General features: G+C 56.4%; 3 long non-coding RNA genes across 4 annotated transcripts in view, besides 9 other annotated features; 2 read left to right on the top strand and 1 right to left on the bottom strand.

Moving 5' to 3' along the window:
• Positions 1 to 8,022, top strand: part of LNCEGFL7OS (lncRNA EGFL7 opposite strand) — an 11,812-nt gene extending 3,790 nt beyond the window's left edge. The window contains exon 2 of the long non-coding RNA NR_135132.1: positions 7,567 to 8,022. This is a non-coding gene — a long non-coding RNA (lncRNA EGFL7 opposite strand). The remainder of the gene's footprint in view (positions 1 to 7,566) is intronic.
• Positions 906 to 1,530: an enhancer, noted in NCBI's record as "H3K27ac-H3K4me1 hESC enhancer chr9:139549554-139550178 (GRCh37/hg19 assembly coordinates)". NCBI's record gives its function as "activates a minimal SCP1, AML or CMV promoter by ChIP-STARR-seq in naive H9 embryonic stem cells {active_cell/tissue: H9 hESC(naive)}" and the evidence as "EXISTENCE:reporter gene assay evidence [ECO:0000049][PMID:30033119]".
• Positions 2,536 to 9,948, bottom strand: LOC102724193 (uncharacterized). Of its 2 annotated transcripts, XR_930443.3 has the most exons (4): positions 9,088 to 9,948; positions 7,553 to 7,934; positions 3,114 to 3,236; positions 2,536 to 2,938 (listed from the first exon to the last, which is right to left on the bottom strand). It is a non-coding gene; the product is annotated as an uncharacterized LOC102724193 (long non-coding RNA). The 2 variants fall into 2 exon arrangements; XR_007061867.1 differs by lacking the exons at positions 3,114 to 3,236; positions 9,088 to 9,948 and having other exon boundaries at positions 7,553 to 7,685.
• Positions 9,575 to 10,271: an enhancer, noted in NCBI's record as "H3K27ac-H3K4me1 hESC enhancer chr9:139540813-139541509 (GRCh37/hg19 assembly coordinates)". NCBI's record gives its function as "activates a minimal SCP1, AML or CMV promoter by ChIP-STARR-seq in naive H9 embryonic stem cells {active_cell/tissue: H9 hESC(naive)}" and the evidence as "EXISTENCE:reporter gene assay evidence [ECO:0000049][PMID:30033119]".
• Positions 9,575 to 12,309: a biological region, named in NCBI's record as "CRISPRi-validated cis-regulatory element chr9.4291". NCBI's record gives its function as "regulatory_interactions: EGFL7".
• Positions 9,600 to 12,309: a transcriptional cis regulatory region, noted in NCBI's record as "candidate enhancer chr9.4291 targeted for multiplex CRISPR interference". NCBI's record gives its function as "positively regulates EGFL7 gene expression in K562 cells {active_cell/tissue: K562}" and the evidence as "EXISTENCE:mutant phenotype evidence [ECO:0000015][PMID:30612741]".
• Positions 9,783 to 9,972: a silencer, noted in NCBI's record as "silent region_20534". NCBI's record gives its function as "represses an Ori minimal core promoter by ATAC-STARR-seq in GM12878 lymphoblastoid cells {active_cell/tissue: GM12878}" and the evidence as "EXISTENCE:reporter gene assay evidence [ECO:0000049][PMID:35858748]".
• Positions 10,272 to 10,969: an enhancer, noted in NCBI's record as "H3K27ac-H3K4me1 hESC enhancer chr9:139540115-139540812 (GRCh37/hg19 assembly coordinates)". NCBI's record gives its function as "activates a minimal SCP1, AML or CMV promoter by ChIP-STARR-seq in naive H9 embryonic stem cells {active_cell/tissue: H9 hESC(naive)}" and the evidence as "EXISTENCE:reporter gene assay evidence [ECO:0000049][PMID:30033119]".
• Positions 10,583 to 10,632: a silencer, noted in NCBI's record as "silent region_20533". NCBI's record gives its function as "represses an Ori minimal core promoter by ATAC-STARR-seq in GM12878 lymphoblastoid cells {active_cell/tissue: GM12878}" and the evidence as "EXISTENCE:reporter gene assay evidence [ECO:0000049][PMID:35858748]".
• Positions 11,793 to 11,922: a silencer, noted in NCBI's record as "silent region_20532". NCBI's record gives its function as "represses an Ori minimal core promoter by ATAC-STARR-seq in GM12878 lymphoblastoid cells {active_cell/tissue: GM12878}" and the evidence as "EXISTENCE:reporter gene assay evidence [ECO:0000049][PMID:35858748]".
• On the top strand, positions 12,156 to 16,745 carry LOC105376325 (uncharacterized). The gene is made up of 3 exons (XR_930446.4): positions 12,156 to 12,486; positions 12,611 to 12,888; positions 15,231 to 16,745. It is a non-coding gene; the product is annotated as an uncharacterized LOC105376325 (long non-coding RNA).
• Positions 12,193 to 12,242: a silencer, noted in NCBI's record as "silent region_20531". NCBI's record gives its function as "represses an Ori minimal core promoter by ATAC-STARR-seq in GM12878 lymphoblastoid cells {active_cell/tissue: GM12878}" and the evidence as "EXISTENCE:reporter gene assay evidence [ECO:0000049][PMID:35858748]".

The raw sequence follows: 16,745 nt of genomic DNA, 5'->3' as shown, positions 1-16,745 counted from the left end.
AGGCACAGTGGTGGGGGGCCCCTCCCCTGGGGATGCCCGTGTGTCTGGGGTCTGTGGGCTTCTGGGAAGGGTGTGAGGGTCCCTCCCTGGAGGCTTCATCCCTGTCTCTCTTGCGGGGTTGTCATAGAGCTCCGGTAGGGTCAGGGACCATAGGTGCCCTGAAAGCTTGTCTGCCTCAGTTTCCCCACGTGTCAGATCAGGGCGTGGAGGGTCTTGGGAGTCCTGGGGAGGGTGCCGGGGTCTCCCTGTTCCCAGTCACAGTGCACACAGTTTATGCCTGGGCCCTTCCCTGGTGGGGAGGGAGGAGGGGTCCATAGCTTCCAGCAGATTCTCGAAGGAGGGTCAACAGAGCCCCATGCAGGTGGCCCTGGGCTTCCTCCAGTCCCCGAGTCCACACTCCTCAGCACCAAGGCTGCCGTCATATTATCACTATTATTTAATACCCTTAAAAAATGTAAAGAGAGAAAGGGAAAAAAAGGCATCTGCCTGGTCAGGAATCTCTGTTTCCTCTCAGCCAGGAAACAGGAAGTGAGTGTTCGGGGAGATTGGGAACCAGCCCTCGAGAACAATAGAGCCCCCCCAGAGCCCCCCAGAGGGGAAGGGGAACTGCGTCAAGGGGTGGGGGCTGCCGGAAGCCTGACCTCTGCCCCGCCAAGCGCAGAGGGGGCCTGAGGCATAAATTTAGTCTCCTTTTCCTGATGAAAGGCTCAGATGCCCTACTGCTGGGGCTGGGGGGAGGGCAAGGCTGGCCTGGGTCCCTGGGGCCTTAGGGACCATCTAACTGTGCCCTCCTTTCACCTATGGGTAAACTGAGGCCCAAAGAGGGGAAGAGCCCTGTCTGGGGGACTGAGGGTGCCGAGCTCCCGTGGCTGTCTCGTTGGGGCTGCAGGCTTTGCTCGGCTTAACACCTGCTGGACCTGGGCACCCCCTCACGTCCCTGAATAAACATAGCGGGTTCTGGTGGAGGCGGGAGGGCAGTGCGGGCCCCTGCAGCCAGCCCTGGCCATTCCTGCCAGCCGTGTGACCCCAGGCAACGCCTCACCTCTCGAGCCTGGCTTTCCCAAGTCACCCTGGCCCGGAGCAGCCTGAGAGGCAAGGCTGCCACCAGCCCGTGCTCCCTCCAGCCCTGCCAGGTGTGCGTCCCCACCTTAGCACCTTGCAGTCTCCACCCCAGCACCCTGTCCTGCATCTCTCCACACCAGCACCCTGCACCCCTGCATCCTAGCGCCCTGTCCTGCATGTCTCCACACCAGCTCCCTGTCCTGCTCTGGGGGGCGGCTCCTTCACTCCCCACTAGTGCCCTAGGGTGACTGTGTGAAGGTGGTCCGGGCCCTTCCCCAGGCAGGGAGGGGACACGGGGCAGGTCCCTCCCCAGGCCCTGGCCATGACTCTGCATCAGGCAGGACACCCCCATGCCTATATCCTTGCTGCTGCCACTGGCCACCATCCTGGCCCAGGTGACACCAACTGGACTCTCAGCCGGGATGCTGCAAACCCGCCCAGCACCATCAGGCCTCTTGGGGGGGACTGCAGCTTCCTGAGCCACCCCTGCCTGGGCAATGACTGGAAACTCCTCTCTCAGGCTGCCCGGCAGACCCCCACACTGCCGGGATGGGGAGGGCTGCTCTGCCTAAGGGGCCTGCCCATCTGTCTGCCCGTGGACCCTACTCCACGCAGGCCTGGGTGGCCGGAGCGTTCAGGAAGCAGGTCAGGGCAGCAGGCCATGCCAGCCTCGGCCTCCCTCCCAGCCACCAGCAAAGCCTGAGGGTTCAGGGATGGCAGCTGATGATGGTGATGCTGATGATGGTGACAATGATGGCGGCGGCCACAGTGGCACCACAGTCTGCACCCCCAGCCGGCTCCCCCAACCACTCCAGCAGCAGGGATTTTTTTTTTTTTTTTTTTTTTTGTGACGGAGTCTCTCTCTGTCTCCCAGGCTGGAGCGCGGTGGTGCGATCTTGGCTCACTGCAAGCTCCGCCCCCCGGGTTCACGCCATTCTCCTGCCTCAGCCTCCCGAGTAGCTGGGACTACAGGCACCCCCCACCACACCCGGCTAATTTTTTGTATTTTTAGTAGAGACGGGGTTTCACTGTGTTAGCCAGGATGGTCTCGATCTCCTGACCTCGTGATCCGCCCGCCTCGGCCTCCCAAAGTGCTGGGATTCCAGGCGTGAGCCACCACGCCCGGCCAGCGGCAGGGATTTTTAAAGGAACGACATCCAGCAGGAAGGGCGAACCCTCCCCTCCTGGGCCCTTCCCTGGCCCTGGCTTCCCTGGGATGAGGGGTGGCTAGGTGTCCGCCTCGCAGGGCTGCAGGGGCCCAGGACACGGGGGAGGGGGGCTGATTCCAGCCAACCCACAGCAGGCCTCCACCCCAGGAGCCAGAGGGGATGCGCTCTCTAGCCTCTTCCACAGCCCTCCCGGGGGTGGTGGGCTGGGTTTGGCGGAGGGTCTCGGGGCTGTGTGCAGGGCTGTTACCGGCAGGTGCTGGGAGGTGGGGGGTGGCTGGGGCAGGACGGGAAGGTCACTCTAGCCTGAGGATAATTTCTACTTTATTTTACAATTCCAAAATGAAGAGTGATTTTCTTGCTTCTTGTTTGAGCTGGGCTGTGACATGTGCTTCCTCTCGAAGAGCCAGTGGATTTGATGAGAAGCACCGAGAGCACCGCCCGGCTCCCGGCATCTGCGAGGCCTCGCACAGGTCCTGTTCTGACGGCAGCGCTGATCAACGCTCTCCACAAACCCCACGAGGGTCGGAGGCGTCCGCATCACCTGCCCGCATACGGGGAAGGGCTGGGAGGCTGCAGGGCTGAGTCACCGCCGGGCACCCACTCCCTGCCAGCCCCCGGGAAGGACAGGGGCAGACGCGGCTCTTTCGCTTAGCCTCAGGGAGGTGGAATCACACAATTTTAGAGCCTTTATTTTAAGGAAAAGAGAGCTGCGTAAAAATAAATAAAAAAATAAATAAAGAGACTTTATTTTAGGGCAGTTGTAGGCTTACAGCCAAATTGAGAGAAGGTACAGAGGTCCCACGCCACAGCCCCCGCCCCGACGTGCGCAGCTCCCCCTGCACCGGAGCGGTTCGTCTGTGACGTGGGTGAACCTGCACTCACATGTCGCAGTCACCCGGGGCCCACGGTGTAATTGGGGTCACTCCGTGTAGCACATTCAGGGTCTGGGCAAGTGTATGAGGGCACGTGGCTGCCAGGACAGTATCAGGCACGGACGTCTCTGCCCTAAAATCGTCCGAGAGGCACCCTCTTTACGTGGACAGTTTAATGCATTTGGGCAAATGAGCACCCCCGTGTAATCGTCACCGCCAAGGATGGATAGGATGTTTCCCACCCCTCCGAAGCCCCTCACACTCTGCCTGACCCCTGGCAGCCCCGACGTGCTCTCTGCTGCTCCTGGGAGATTTGTGTTGTGGAAGCCAAGTGGCCAGTGCCCTGTGCCCAGCACGATGGCTTTTCTTTTTTTTTTGAGACAGAGTCTTACTCTGTAGCCCAGGCTGGAGTGCAGTGGCACAATCCTAGCTCATTGCAACCTCCGCTTCCCTGGTTCAAGCGATTCTCCTGCCTCAGCCTTCTGAGTAGCTGGGATTACAGGTGTACACCACCATGCCCGGCTAATTTTAGTAGAGATGGGGTTTCACCATGTTGGTCAGGACAGTCTCGATCTCCTGACCTCAGGTGATCCGCTTGCCTTGGCCTCCCAAAGTGCTGGGATTATAGGTGTGAGCCACTGCGCGTGGCCGTGATGGGTTAGGGTTGGTCAGTGCTGTGTGTGTCTGTGACTCAGTACTGCTTCGTAGGAGTCCACAGTCTGAGTGGGCCATGGTTCATTCATTCATTCATTCATTCATTTAGAGATGGAGTCTGGCTCTGTCGCCCAGGCTGGAGTGCAGTGGCACGATCTCAGCTCACTGCAAGCTCTGCCTCCTGGGTTCACGCCATTCTCCTGCCTCAGCCTCCCACGTAGCTGGGACTACAGGCACCCGCCACCACACCTGGCTAATTTTTTAAATTTTTAGTAGAGACAGGGTTTCACTGTGTTAGCCAGGATGGTCTTGATCTCCTGACCTCGTGATCTGTCTGCCTCGGCCTCCCAAAGTGCTGGGATTACAGGTGTGAGCCACCGCACCCGGCCTATTTATTTATTTTTTGATACAGGGTCTCACTCTGTCACCCAGGCTGGAGTGCGGCGGCGCAATCTCAGCTCACTGCAACTTCCGCCTCTGTGGTTCAAGTGATTCTCTGCCTCAGCCTCTCGAGTAGCTGGGATAACAGGCACACGCCACCACGCCCAACTCCAGGGCCACAGTTTATATGAACACATTTTAATTTCAGAGAGAAGAGAGTTTGGAAAAAAATTTAAAAATAATAACAAACAAAGAAAGGGTCCCTCCACTTCTCACAAGACTCAACATAGGATTACCACAGTCTCCAAAACTCCACGCTAGGTACATTCCCCTAGAGCAGGGATTCAAACAGACGCGCAATGTACACACAGCGTTGTGCTCACAGGAGCCGAGAGGTGGATAGACCCGGATGCGCATCCACGGATGAGTGCATTGACAAGCCAAGGCCCATCCGTACAGTGAGACACTGCTGAGCCGTAAAGAGGAATGAAGCTCTGGCCAGGGGCGGTGGCTCACATCTGTAATCCCAGCACTCTGGGAGGCCAAGAATGGTGGATTGTTTGAGCTCAGGAGTTCAAAACTAGCCTGTGCAACTTGGCAAAACCCTGTCTCAAATATTTAAAAAGGGGAAAAAAAAATTAAAAAAAAAAAAAAAGGAATGAGGCCCGGGGTGGTGGCTCACGTCTGTAATCCCAGCACTTTGGGAGGCTGAGGCAGGAGGATCAGTTTAGGTCAGAAGTTTGAGACCAGCCTGGCCAACATGGTGAAACCCCGTCTTTACTAAAAATACAAAAATTAGCCGGGTGTGGTGGTGCGCGCTTTTAGTCCCAGCTACTCAGCAGGCTGAGCCAGGAGAATCGCTTGAACTCCGGAGGCAGAGGTTGCAGTGAGCTGAGATTGCGCCACTACACTCCAGCCTGGGCGACAGAGCGAGACTCCGTCTCAAAAAAAAAAAATTAACACTAGGCCAGGCGCGGTGGCTCACACCTGTAATCCCAGCACTTTGGGAGGCCGAGGCGGGCGGATCTCCTGAGGTCAGCAGTTCAAGACCAGCCTGACCTACATGGTGAAACCCTGTCTTTACTAAAAATACAAAAATTAGCTGGGCATGGTGGCTCGCACCTGTAATCCCAGCTACCTGGGAGGCTGAGGCATGAGAATTGCTTGAACCCGGGAGGTGGAGGTTGCAGTGAGCCGAGATCACGCCACTGTGCTCCAGCCTGGGCGACAGAGCAAGACTCCATCTCAAAAAAAAAAAAAAAAAAAAAAAATGGAATGACACCCTGGCAGGAGCTGCGGCATGGACGAGCCCTGAGTGATTCCATTGACAAGAGATGTCCACAGCGGGCAGGGCCATAGAGACAGGAAGCAGCTTAGTGGTTACCAAGGACCGCAGGAGGAGAGAACGGGGACACACACCTGAGGTGCGTGGAGTTTCACTCTGGGAGCATGAACAAGTTTTGGACATAGATAGTGGTGGTGATCGCACCCTATTGTGAATAGAATTCCCCTGAGGGACACCTAAAAATGGCTAAAGTGGCACAGCAGTGTGGAGGTTCCTCAAAACATTAAACATTGCATGTAACCCAGCAATCCCTCTTCTGGGTATAGACCTAACGGAAATGAAATCGATGTGTCTAAGAGATAGCTGCAGGCCACGGGCGTCGCACGCTGTTCATAATAGCCAAGAAACAAAGTTAGTGCATGCATGGATGAATAAGTGTGGCGGATACACACAGCGGGGCACTGTTCACCCTTCAGCAAGGAGACCTGTCACTTGTGATCACATGTGTGAACTTGGAGGTCACAATCTTTTTTTTTTGAGCCAGAGTCTCACTCTGTCGCCCAGGCTGGAGTGCAGTGGTACAATCTCGGCTCACTGCAGCCTCTGCCTCCCGGTTCAAGCAATTCTCCTGCCTCAGCCTCCTGAGCAGCTGGGACTACAGGGGCCCGCCACCACACCCGGCTAATTTTTTAGTACTTTTTTAAGTACAGATGGGGTTTCACCATGTTGGCTAGGCCGGTCTCAAACTCCTGACCTTAGGTGATCCTCCTGCCTCGGCCTCCCAAAGTGCTGGGATTAAAGGCGTGAGCCACTGCGCCTGGCCTAAGGTCACAATCTTAAGTAAAATAGGCCAGGCACAGAAAGACAAATCCCACATGCTCTCACTCATATGTGGAGTGTGAAATAGTGGAGCTTAGAAGCAGAAAGTGGGGCAGTTGCTCCCAGGGGTGGGCGGGGCGGGGTGGCCAGATGTTGGCGGAAGGCCACAAAGTTTCAGTTGAGGAGTGGGTGCAATATCTATGGGACACAAAGTTTCAGTTGAGGAGTCAGTGCAAGATCTATGGGACACAAAGTTTCAGTTGAGGAGTCGGTGCCAAGATCTATGGGACACCCAGCGACTTGAGTGAATAAAGGCACTGTGCTCTTGAAAATTTCCGAGAGAGTCTTTCTCATCACCACAAAGGTAAGCACGGGAGGTGATGTAGGTATGAACTGGCTCGACGTAGCTGTTCCCGAATGTCCACATAGACCATAACGTGCCATGTACCATAAATATGTACCACGTTTGTCAATTAAAAAACAAACAGGCAGGGCGTGGTGGCTCACGCCTGTAATCCCAGCACTTTGGGAGGCCAAGGTGGGCAGATCCCTTGAGGTCAGGAGTTCAAGACCAGCCTGACCAACATGGCAAAACCCCGTCTCTACTAAAAATACAAAAATTAGCCGGGCTTGGTGGCAGGCACCTGTAATCCCAGCTGCTTGTGAGGCTGAGGCAGGAGAATTACTTGAACCTGGGAGGCAGAGGTTGCAGTGAGCCGAGATTGCCCCACTGCACTCCAGCCTGGGAAACAGAGTGGGACTCTGTCTTAAAAAACAACAACAATAACAAAAAAATAAATAAAATAAGTAGTCAGTGCACTAGGGAAAGAAAAGAATATAAAATACAATGCCTAATTGTTAAAAAAAAAAAAAAAACGTAGGCAATAAGACTTCAGAGGAGAGGCCGGGCGCAGTGGCTCACGCCTGTAATCCCAGCACTTTGGGAGGCTGAGGTGGGTGGATCACCTGAGGTCAGGAGTTCGAGACCACCCTGGCCAACATGGTGAAACCCCATCTCTACTAGAAATATAAAAATTAGCCGGGCATGGTAGCGCATGCCTGTCATTCCAGCTCCTCAGGAGGCTGAGGCACAAGAATTGCTTCAGCTCGGAAGGTGGAGGCTGCAGTGAGCCGAGATCATGCCATTCCACTCCAGCCTGGGCCAGAGTGAGATTCGGTCCAAAAAAAGACTTCAGAGGAGACCCTGCCTCCTGGTGCTCTGTACATTCTTCCCCTAAACTGGGCTCAACTTCCTTGTTTTATGTAAAAGTTGGGCAGATGGAATTAAGCCCTCAGAGCATTCAACTTACTTCATAATTTTCAGAGCCAGCCGGGAGTGCAGGAGGGAGAACTTTCCTGTGGACGTCCTGTGTTCTCCAGACGCAGAGAACCCTCATCAACCGAGGGGGAGGTCACTTCCGAATCCACAGATGGCGTGTGAGTGCATGGCGAGCGCCTCCAGGACACACTTACTGTTCCCTTGCTCTGGCCAGACGCCAGCCGGACCCTGTGTGTGCGCGCCGTGCTGCTCTTTGCAGCTGCCTGCAAGGGGTTCCTGCGAAGACCAGCACCTTGGGGAAGAGCCTGCGGCTGAACTTGAACTCGCAGCTACCTGAGTCAGACCTGTGCTTTTTCACCTCTACGGAAGATGTCAGAGCGTTTCCCTAGCAATGTTTTAGAAGTTACTTCTGTCTGGAAAAAAATGGAAAAAATGGCAAATTATGTTATGTATAATTTGATAATTTTAAAGAATTAATGATGTAATTATTACTCAAACCCACTGAATTGTACGTTTTATTATTATTATTACTATTTTCTTTTTTTTCTTTCTTTCTGTTTTTTTTCGAGACGGAGTTTCACTCTTTTCGCCCAGGCTGGAGTGAAATGGTGCAATCTCAGCTCACCACAATCTCTACCTCCCGGGTTCAAGTGATTCTCCTGCCTCAGCCTCCCGAGCAGCTGGGATTACAGGCATGCACCACCACGCCCATTCAATTTTGTATTTTTAGTAGAGATGGGGTTTCTGTATGTTGGTCAGGATGGCCTTGAACTCCCAACCTCAGGTGATTCGTCTGCCTCGGCCTCCCAAAGTGCTGGGATTACAGGCGTGAGCCACTGCGCCCGCTTATTATTATTATTTATTTTATTTTATTTTATTTATTTGAGACAGAATCTCCCTCTGTCGCCCAGCCTGGAGTGCAGTGGCGCGATCTCAACTCACTGCAACCTCTGCTTCCCAGGTTCAAGTGATTCTCCTGCCTCAGCCTCCCGAGTAGCTGGAATTACAGGTGCCCAACACCACGCCCGACTAATTTTTGTATTTTTAGTAGAGACAGGGTTTCACCATATTGGCCAGGCTGGTCTCAAACTCCTGACCTGGTGATCCACCCGCCTCAGCCTCCCAAAGTGCTGGGATTACAGGCATGAGCCACCGAGCCCGGACTGAATTGTACATTTTAAATGGGTGAATTGTATGGTATATAAATGATTTCTTAATAAAGCTGTTATTTTTATTTTATTTTCAAGGTGGAGTCTCACTCTGTCTCCCAGGCTGGAATGCAGTGGCACGATCTCAGCTCACTGCAACCTCTGCCTCCTGGGCTCAAGCAATTCTCCTGCCTCAGTCTCCCTAGTAGCTGGGATTACAGGCGCCCGCCACCACACCCAGCTAATTTTTGTATTTGTAGTAGAGACAGCATTTCACCATGTTGGCCAGGCTGGTCTCAAACTCCTGACCTCAGGTGATCTGCCCGCCTCGGCCTCCCACAGTGCTGGGATGACAGGCATGAGCCACCGTGGCCAGCCATAAAGGTGTTATTCAAGAAAAAGAAGAAATGCCTCAGACCTGAACGCTTCCCACCATCTTGGCTGAGCGTTTGACCACATCGGTGGATGCCCCACTGGGTTGCATTCTAGTCCGTGCCGATGGCCTCTGCGGGGGCTCCTTCCAATCCCTTGAGACGTGGGCCATGTTGTAGGGGATGCTGGCAGTTAGTGGGAAGTGTGAGCACTGAGGGGCCCCCAGTCCTGGAGAGGAAGCCTTCTGGGCTGCGGGTCTCTCTCCTGCCAGGCATCCCGGGCACCATGCAGCCCCTGCCACCCTGGGCTCAGCCTGCCCCGTGCCCTCTGCAGTCCTTCCTCAGCCAAGGGCAGCTCCTGGAGTTTAGGGGATGGGAGTGGACTCCTTCTGGGGTGGGTGGAACCTCTCCTCCACCCAGCTCAGCAGACCGGTTGTGAGGTTGCCGCGTAGGCACCATGGGCAGTCGGGGGTAAGGATGGATACCTCTCGGTAGCTGATGCGGGGCTCACGCTGGGCTGGCACTTTAAGACAGATGCCGGAGGAGCAGCCAGGGGTGTTTGTGGGGCACATGGGCCGGGCCAGGCCAGCGCCTCTCTGGGACCTCAAGCAGGAGAGTGGTCGGTCCAGCCCGGGAGGGAGCCTGTGGCTAGGCCTGTGCAGGAGTCGGGGGGGACTCTCGGTGGGGACCCTCCCGGCAGCCGAAACTGGGGGAGGGAGAGCAGAACATCTGGCCCTGCTGGGTTGGGGCTGATGCTTCTGTTTAGCCGTAGCAGCCTCCCTGGGGTTGATTTCCTAGAGCTCCTACACCCCCAGTTTGTCCGGGGCCCCAGCCGTAGCTGCTACTGGGGGCCTCAAACTCCCCCAGGGCAGCCAGGACCCCAGGGGCTGTGGAGCCAGGGGCAGAGTGGAGGTGGGGGTCGGGGGAGGGCTGCAGCCGGGCCCATAGTCCCCACCCTGCAGGCCGGAGCAGGAAGGGCTGGCGGGAGCCAGGGACAAAAGGCGGACGTGCAGCCGGCCATGTGTGTCCTTATCACAGGCTGCACTCCCAGCACAGCAGCCTGCGCGGAAACGCTCCTCTCCGCCGCCTTCCTGCCTGGAAGCCCGGAGGCGGAGGCGGAGGCGCTGGAGGCCCCCACCCAGCGGGACGGGAGGCTGAGGGGAGCAAGGGGAGCGAGCGGAGCCAGGTGGGGGCAGATGTGCAGGATGGGTCAGGGGCAGCGGGGTGGGAGGCCCAGCCTCCGGGGTCTGGAGGGTTAGCTGAGTACTTCACGCTGCACTGATCTGTGGGGCCGCCGTGATGTGGGTGCTAACGCTCTCCCCACCTGTTGGATGGGGAAACTGAGGCCCAGGGCAACAGTGACCTCTCGAGGTCAGGCCCCAGCTAGGTGAGGCACAAACTCAGTCCAGAGGCGGCCCCGGGGGCTCTGCCGTCCACCCAGGCTCTGGCTGACAAGGGGCCCTCCTGCTGTGCTGGCTCCCGAAGGGGATGGCCCGGACTGGGCCCAGCTGCCCTCTGGTGGATATGGGGCCACCCCAGTCAGGGTGGGGCTGACAGGGTCCATGCTCCCTCCCGCCCTCGGACGTGCAGACTTGAAGAACGCTGGCGGGCGGGCTTGGGGGCCTAGCACCGGCCAGGTCACCAGTGCTACCTTCCTCTGAGTGAATCTGCCGGAGGACTGAGCTGGGGTCCGGGAACGGCTTCCCAGCAGGCCCTGCAGCCTATTCTGCCCCAGGCGTAAGTCATGCTCCCTCCCTGGGAGGACATGGCTGCTGGTGGGGTGCTGGGGCCACATCCAGTCCTCTTGGCTTCTTGAGGTTGGGGTGATGACTGCCCCCAGCACGTGAAACCCATGGGTAGGCGGTGGGGACTGTGTTCCTGCCCTGATGACACCTGCTGTGGGAAGGCACCAGAGCCCCTGCAGGCCCCCACTTCTGCAGAAGCACGGGGGGTGGGGGGTGGGGGGCGTGGGAGAGGCCCACAGAGGCTTGTGCCCCTCTAACCTGTTCCGTGGTGACAGGGCTCTCGCTTGCCTCCCGGGGAGGCATCCTGAGCCCAGTGGCTAGATTCAGGTCGTGGCCCTGCTGTGAGAGGGACCTTTGCGTCCCTGACTGACAGTGGGTGAGCCAGGCCGTGAGAGTCTTTTTCTGTTGGCCGTGGCTGGAGCCTGTGACCTGCAGGCCAGAGAGCGCAGGGCCACCTGCAGTCGCCGACCGGGCCCATTGTCATCTGTGGATCTGGCTGTGCCTCAGTTTCCCACCCATCAACTGGGGCTGGGGCTGTAGCTGAGTGGCGCTTCCTTGGGGGGTGGGAGAGGAGAGGCTGCCATATCCAGAGCACGTCCGCCCTAGGCCCTGGCCCGGCCCGGGGCCCTGCCTCCGCTAATTTGAGAGGATAGAGGAAGTCCCCTGTGGCCTCTCCCCTTCTCAGCTGACCTCACCCATCTGGGGCTGCACAGGAAATGCCCGGGTGTGCTGGGGCCTGACCCTTCTGCAGAGCCGGGGCCCCAGCGCCAGCCGCCCGCCATCTGCTGACCTCTGGCCAGGCTCAACGCCACACTCTCCAAGGCTGACTCAGAGCCCTGGGAAAGGGTCAGGGGCTCCCACCTCCGTGCTGAGCTCATCAGGGAGGGGCTCAGCACCTGGTCACCTCTGTGTCCTCACACCCCAGGCTCTGCCTGGCTGCTGCCTGCCTGGTGGTCAGTGCCTGTCACCCCCACTGTCCCCTCCAGGCCACAGGAAGAGTCTGAGCAGGGAGAACCCTGGTCTCACGGGCTCCCAGGGCCCTGGCACCGAGGGTGTGAGGAGCCTCTCCTGGGACAAAGGCCGAGGGGTTCCGGGGGTCCTTGGCCTCCGTGGCCGTTGGCATGGGGCCCCCCCAACGACCCGCAGCCGGCAGATGGGGCGGCGGCTGCAGTTCCCCCAATGCTCACAGCGCGGCGGTGTTTCCCCGCGGAAGCTGCCCCGGACCAGTGGCCTCTACCCTGCTGCTGCCAGCCTTGGGCGGGGCTCCCTGCACGTGGGACACGCACCCCTCCCACCCTGACAGCCTGTGCGTCCCGCCCTGCGTGGCTTCTCTCCAAAGGCTCTTAAGATTCGAGGAGAGGGGCGGAGAGAGGACCTGGCTTGGTTGGGAAGTGGGGCCTGGGACCCTGGGACCCTGTGCTCCGACCCCACCTGCAAGGCTGCGCCCTCCGCAGGGGGCCGTCCGGGGGGGCCCTGCCCGCGGGTCACTGCCAGGATCCTGCAAGCAGCCAGCGGGCACCGCTGTCACCACATTTCACACTCTGAGGAGCTCTGGGCACAGCCTCCAGGGAAAGCCTGGCTGCCGACTCTGGCCCCCTGACTCCTGAATCCTGCGAGTCACACGGCGGCACGGCCTGCATATCGGGGAGGATGGCAGGCTGGGCTGTCCTGAGGTGACCAGGGAATGCCAGACGCTTTGGGGTGAGGGTTTGCTTGCCGGCTTTGGGGCAGGCCAAGGGATTCTGCAGGGGCAGTAGGTCCCCGCGATCTTCTGGGGAGGGGCCGGCTGCCGAATCTCTGGGATTCAAATGTGGAAAACCCACAGGGGGCATTCCCGTGATGACTGAAAGAAGAAGTGGCAGCGTCACAGCTGAAGGGAGGCTGTCAGAGTGACCAGAGTGGCCAGTCCAGAGGAGACGGGTGGGGCAAAGTCTCCAGGAGGCCAGGAGATGCCTTCAAGAAAAGAAATGGAAAGGAGTGATGACCTGATGCGTGTGAGAACACGGGGACGAGCCTTGCGGCTCCGTGGGAGAGCTTGGGTGAGGACCACCCGTGCCGCGGCGACCTCTGATCGTCACCCAAGCTGTGCCCTCCCATTTCACGGTAAAAGGGGTTTCACCGGGCTCAAGGCTGTCCAGCTAAAGACCACGTCTCCCAGCCTCCTTGCAGACTCTAACTTAGCCTGTGACCAAGTTCTGGTCAATGGGACCAGAGCAGGAGTGGGAGGTGTCACTTCCGGATCTTCCCATTAAAAGAAAGGGTCATTCTCCAGGAGAACCCACCCGAGGTGTCCTGGCCGTAGCCACCTTCAAAATGCCCTCTGTGTGTATGGGAGATACTATACCCTAGAATCTCAGAACACGCCAGAACGCTGAAATGCCCTTCTACCTTTGGATTTACAGCCCCCTCCAGATAAATTAAGAAATTCAGTATTTCTCCACTCTTAGCTGGATTCTAAAGTTCTGTATATCTCATGATGATGTGTATTTTTATAGCAGCCTTTTAACAGAACTAGTTAATTTGGTGTATATGAATTTTTCTCGAAGATCTGGTCCAAACTATATTCAGTTTTCTGCCCAGAATTATCAGATTGAAGGTGGTTGGTTTTTATTTACTTTTTCTTTTATTCCTTTTTTTTTTTTTTGAGACAGAGTTTCACTCTGGTTGCCCAGGCTGGAGTGCAATGGTGTGATCTCAGCTCACTGCAAGGTCTACCTCCCAAGTTCAGGTGATTCTCTTGCCTCAGCCTCCCAAGTAGCTGGGACTACAGGTGCCCGCCCCCACACCTAGCTAATTTTTGTATTTTTAGTAGAGTTGGGGTTTCACCATATTGGCCAGGCTGGTCTCGAACACCTGACCTTGTGATCCACCTGCCTCGGCCTCCCAAAGTGCTGGGATTACAGGTGTGAGCTACCGTGCCTGGCCAGGGTCACTCTCTTGTTGACCCTTCCCTCCCTCCTGCAGGCAGGGAGATGGTGAGAGGTGGAGCAGCCCCTTTGGTCCTGAGCCAGCCACGTGTTGAGAGCGGCAGGGAAGCCCATCAGCCTCGGGACTTTCATGTGAGGGAGAAACCAACTCTATCATGTTTAGATTCCTGTTGTTTTGGTTCTTTGCCTCAGTAACTTAACCAATATTCTAACTAAGCAAGTGAAAAAGGAAGCAACTTTGAATTCCAGGAAAAACAAAAAGTTATAAAAAGGAAATGCATTTATCATATAGTACTTGGCTCAAGAGTGAACAATTACAGAGTTATATTAATGCAAGTGCTGACTATCCGTGTGAAGAATTCAGGATCCGTCGTCTGTTTGAAGGTGGGAGGGGAGAAGGGCATGCACTGGCCAGGAGAGACGGGAAAGTGAGATCCTCATCTTCTGGTAGGAAGTCAACAGGAAGCTTCAAGGACCTGCATGATGAGCATATTATTTCAAAATAGGGAGTAATGCCGGCTAGAAGAGCTAAGTTGGCTAAAAGAATTTTAAGTGGGCCAGGCGCGGTGGCTCACGCCTGTAATCCCAGCACTTTGGGGAGCCGAGGCGGGTGGATCACAAGGTCAGGAGATGGAGACCATCCTGGCTAACACGGTGAAACCCCATCTTTACTAAAAAATAAAACAAATTAGCCGGACTTGGTGGCGGGTGCCTGTGGTCCCGGCTGCTTGGGGGGCTGAGGCAGGAGAATGGCGTGAACCTGGGGGGCGGAGCTTGCAGTAAGCCGGGATGGCGCCACTGCACTCCAGCCTGGGCAAGGGAGCGAGACTCTGTCTCAAAAAAAAAAAAAAAAAAGGAATTTTAAGTGATCACTTCTGGAGTTGGAGTTGCTATTTTCTCTATGTCTTGGGGAAACTTTTAAACTAAGTGCACACATTGCTTTTAAAATTTAAAAAAACACAGCCAGGTGTGGTGGCTCATGCCTGTAATCCCAGCACTTTGGGAGGCTGAGGGGGGAGACTCGCTTGAGCCCAGGAGTTTGAGACCAGCCTGGGCAACACAGCAAGACCCCATCTCCACAAAAACATTGAAACATTGGCCAATGTGCTGCCTGTAGTCCCAGCTACTTGGGAGGCTGAGGTGGGAGAATCACTTGAGCTCGGGAGGAGGCTGCAGGGAGCTGTGTTTGTGCCACTGCACTCCAGCCTGGGTGACAGAGTGAGACCTTTTCTCAACAAAAAAATAAAAATAAAAATATAAACATTAAAAATTTTTAGTTAATAGGCCCTGAACTGAGCCTTTGTGTGCAAACATTCATGGAAAACGTGGGGGAAAAGAGGAGGTCTTGTCTGGTGTGTGGGGTAGGCTTGTGCGGCACAGCAGACAGGGAGGAGCTGGTGGGTGAGTGACAGCCCCAGGTCAGGCAGGGACAGATGCTCAAGGGCACCAGGCTGAGGGGCCGGGAGGCCCAATCTTAGGCATGGGGAACCAACCAGGCCACTTCTTTCTTTTCTCCAGAAAATTATCACCTGCTGAGCCCCCTTGCTGCTGCTCTCTGGGCGTGCACTGTGAGTGCACTGTGGAGTTTACGGACACCGGCCCCCGCGACGGTGGAGTTTACGGGGACCGGCCCCCGCGATGGTGGAGTTTACAGACACTGGCTCCCGCGACGGTGGAGTTTACGGGGACCGGCCCCCGCGACGGCAGAGTTTATGGGGACCGGCTCCCCCGACGGTGGGGGCCCACGAGTCCCAGCATCTGCAGCAGAGTCGCCGGATTGCATGAGGTCAGCGAGTGTGTCCACTGCAGACCCTGCGGAGCCACCATCCAAAACCACATTGAGAATATTTCCATTACTCTAGGAAAAGCTTCTCCGTCCAGCTGAGGCGGGATGTCATAGACTTACCCTCCTACCCGAAACAGCCAAAAAGCAAAACAAAACCAGACAAAACGCAGACACATGGCTTCCAAGACACGGGACACCAGGCATTAGAGGACAGTAACCCTGAGTGATGGGAACAGCCGTGCCCTAGTCACCCGTGCTCACTGCCCTGGGAGGCAGTCCAGGCTGTGGGTGGGAAGGCGGAACCCACGCAGGTCCCAGTGGACCCCCGAGGCTGGACAGACCGAGGCGGCTCGAGTTCATGGACACAGTACCAGAGTGGAGAGGGTCGCACAGAGAGGGACCCTGAAGACCTGGATGGGACCCCTGGAGTATTTGGAAGAGCATGGCCCTGCGGATCCCCATAAGGAAACTCCCCAGGGTGGGTAAAAAGGCACCCGGAAGGATGAGAGGGAACAGGGCCCGACTCCTGCAGGGCTGAGGACAGTGTCTCTCCCCATCAGCCAAGCAGGAAATCTCGTAACTCACGGGGCCTTGGGTGAAGCCCTTGGGAAGGGCTTGCCTCGGCGGGGGACGATCAGCCTGAGCCCGAGCTGTGCTCTGAGCCCTCCTACCAAGCCATAAAAGCAAGACTAGAAAGGATCAAACTGCCTCCAGATCACTTAACCGCACGTCCAGGACAAAGCTGAAGATTTCCAGGAAGACAAAAATCCCCGGCACCCAGCCAGGTGAAATTCACAAGGACTGGCGTCCAAAGGAAGAGGACCTGCCAGGCAATGGGAAAAGCAGGAGAACGGGACCCATGATGAGAAAAATGATGTAATCAAAACCATCCCAGGGCTGGGTGCGGTGGCTAACGCCTGTCATCCTAGCACTTTGGGAAGCCGAGGTGGAGGATCACTTGAGGCCAAGAGTTCAAGACCAGATGGGGCAACATAGTAAGACCCTGTCTCTATGACAAAAAAAAAAAAAGGTAAAACCATCCCAAAGTTGACACAGATGTGAGAATGAGCAGAGGTGGGCATTGAAGCAGTCGTTTTTGCTGTATTCCCTCTGTTCAGAAGTTAAGTAGAACCACAGCTCGATGTCCCCTCAGGCTCATTAGGATGGTTACTATTCAAAAAAAGAAAGTGGCCAGGTGCGGTGGCTCACGCCTGTAATCCCAGCACTTTGGGAGGCCAAGGCGGGTG

This window comes from Homo sapiens, chromosome 9 (assembly GCF_000001405.40).
Source record: "Homo sapiens chromosome 9, GRCh38.p14 Primary Assembly".
In the NCBI taxonomy this organism is placed as follows: Eukaryota; Metazoa; Chordata; class Mammalia; order Primates; family Hominidae; genus Homo; species Homo sapiens.
This window is presented reverse-complemented; position numbering and strand designations above follow the sequence as displayed.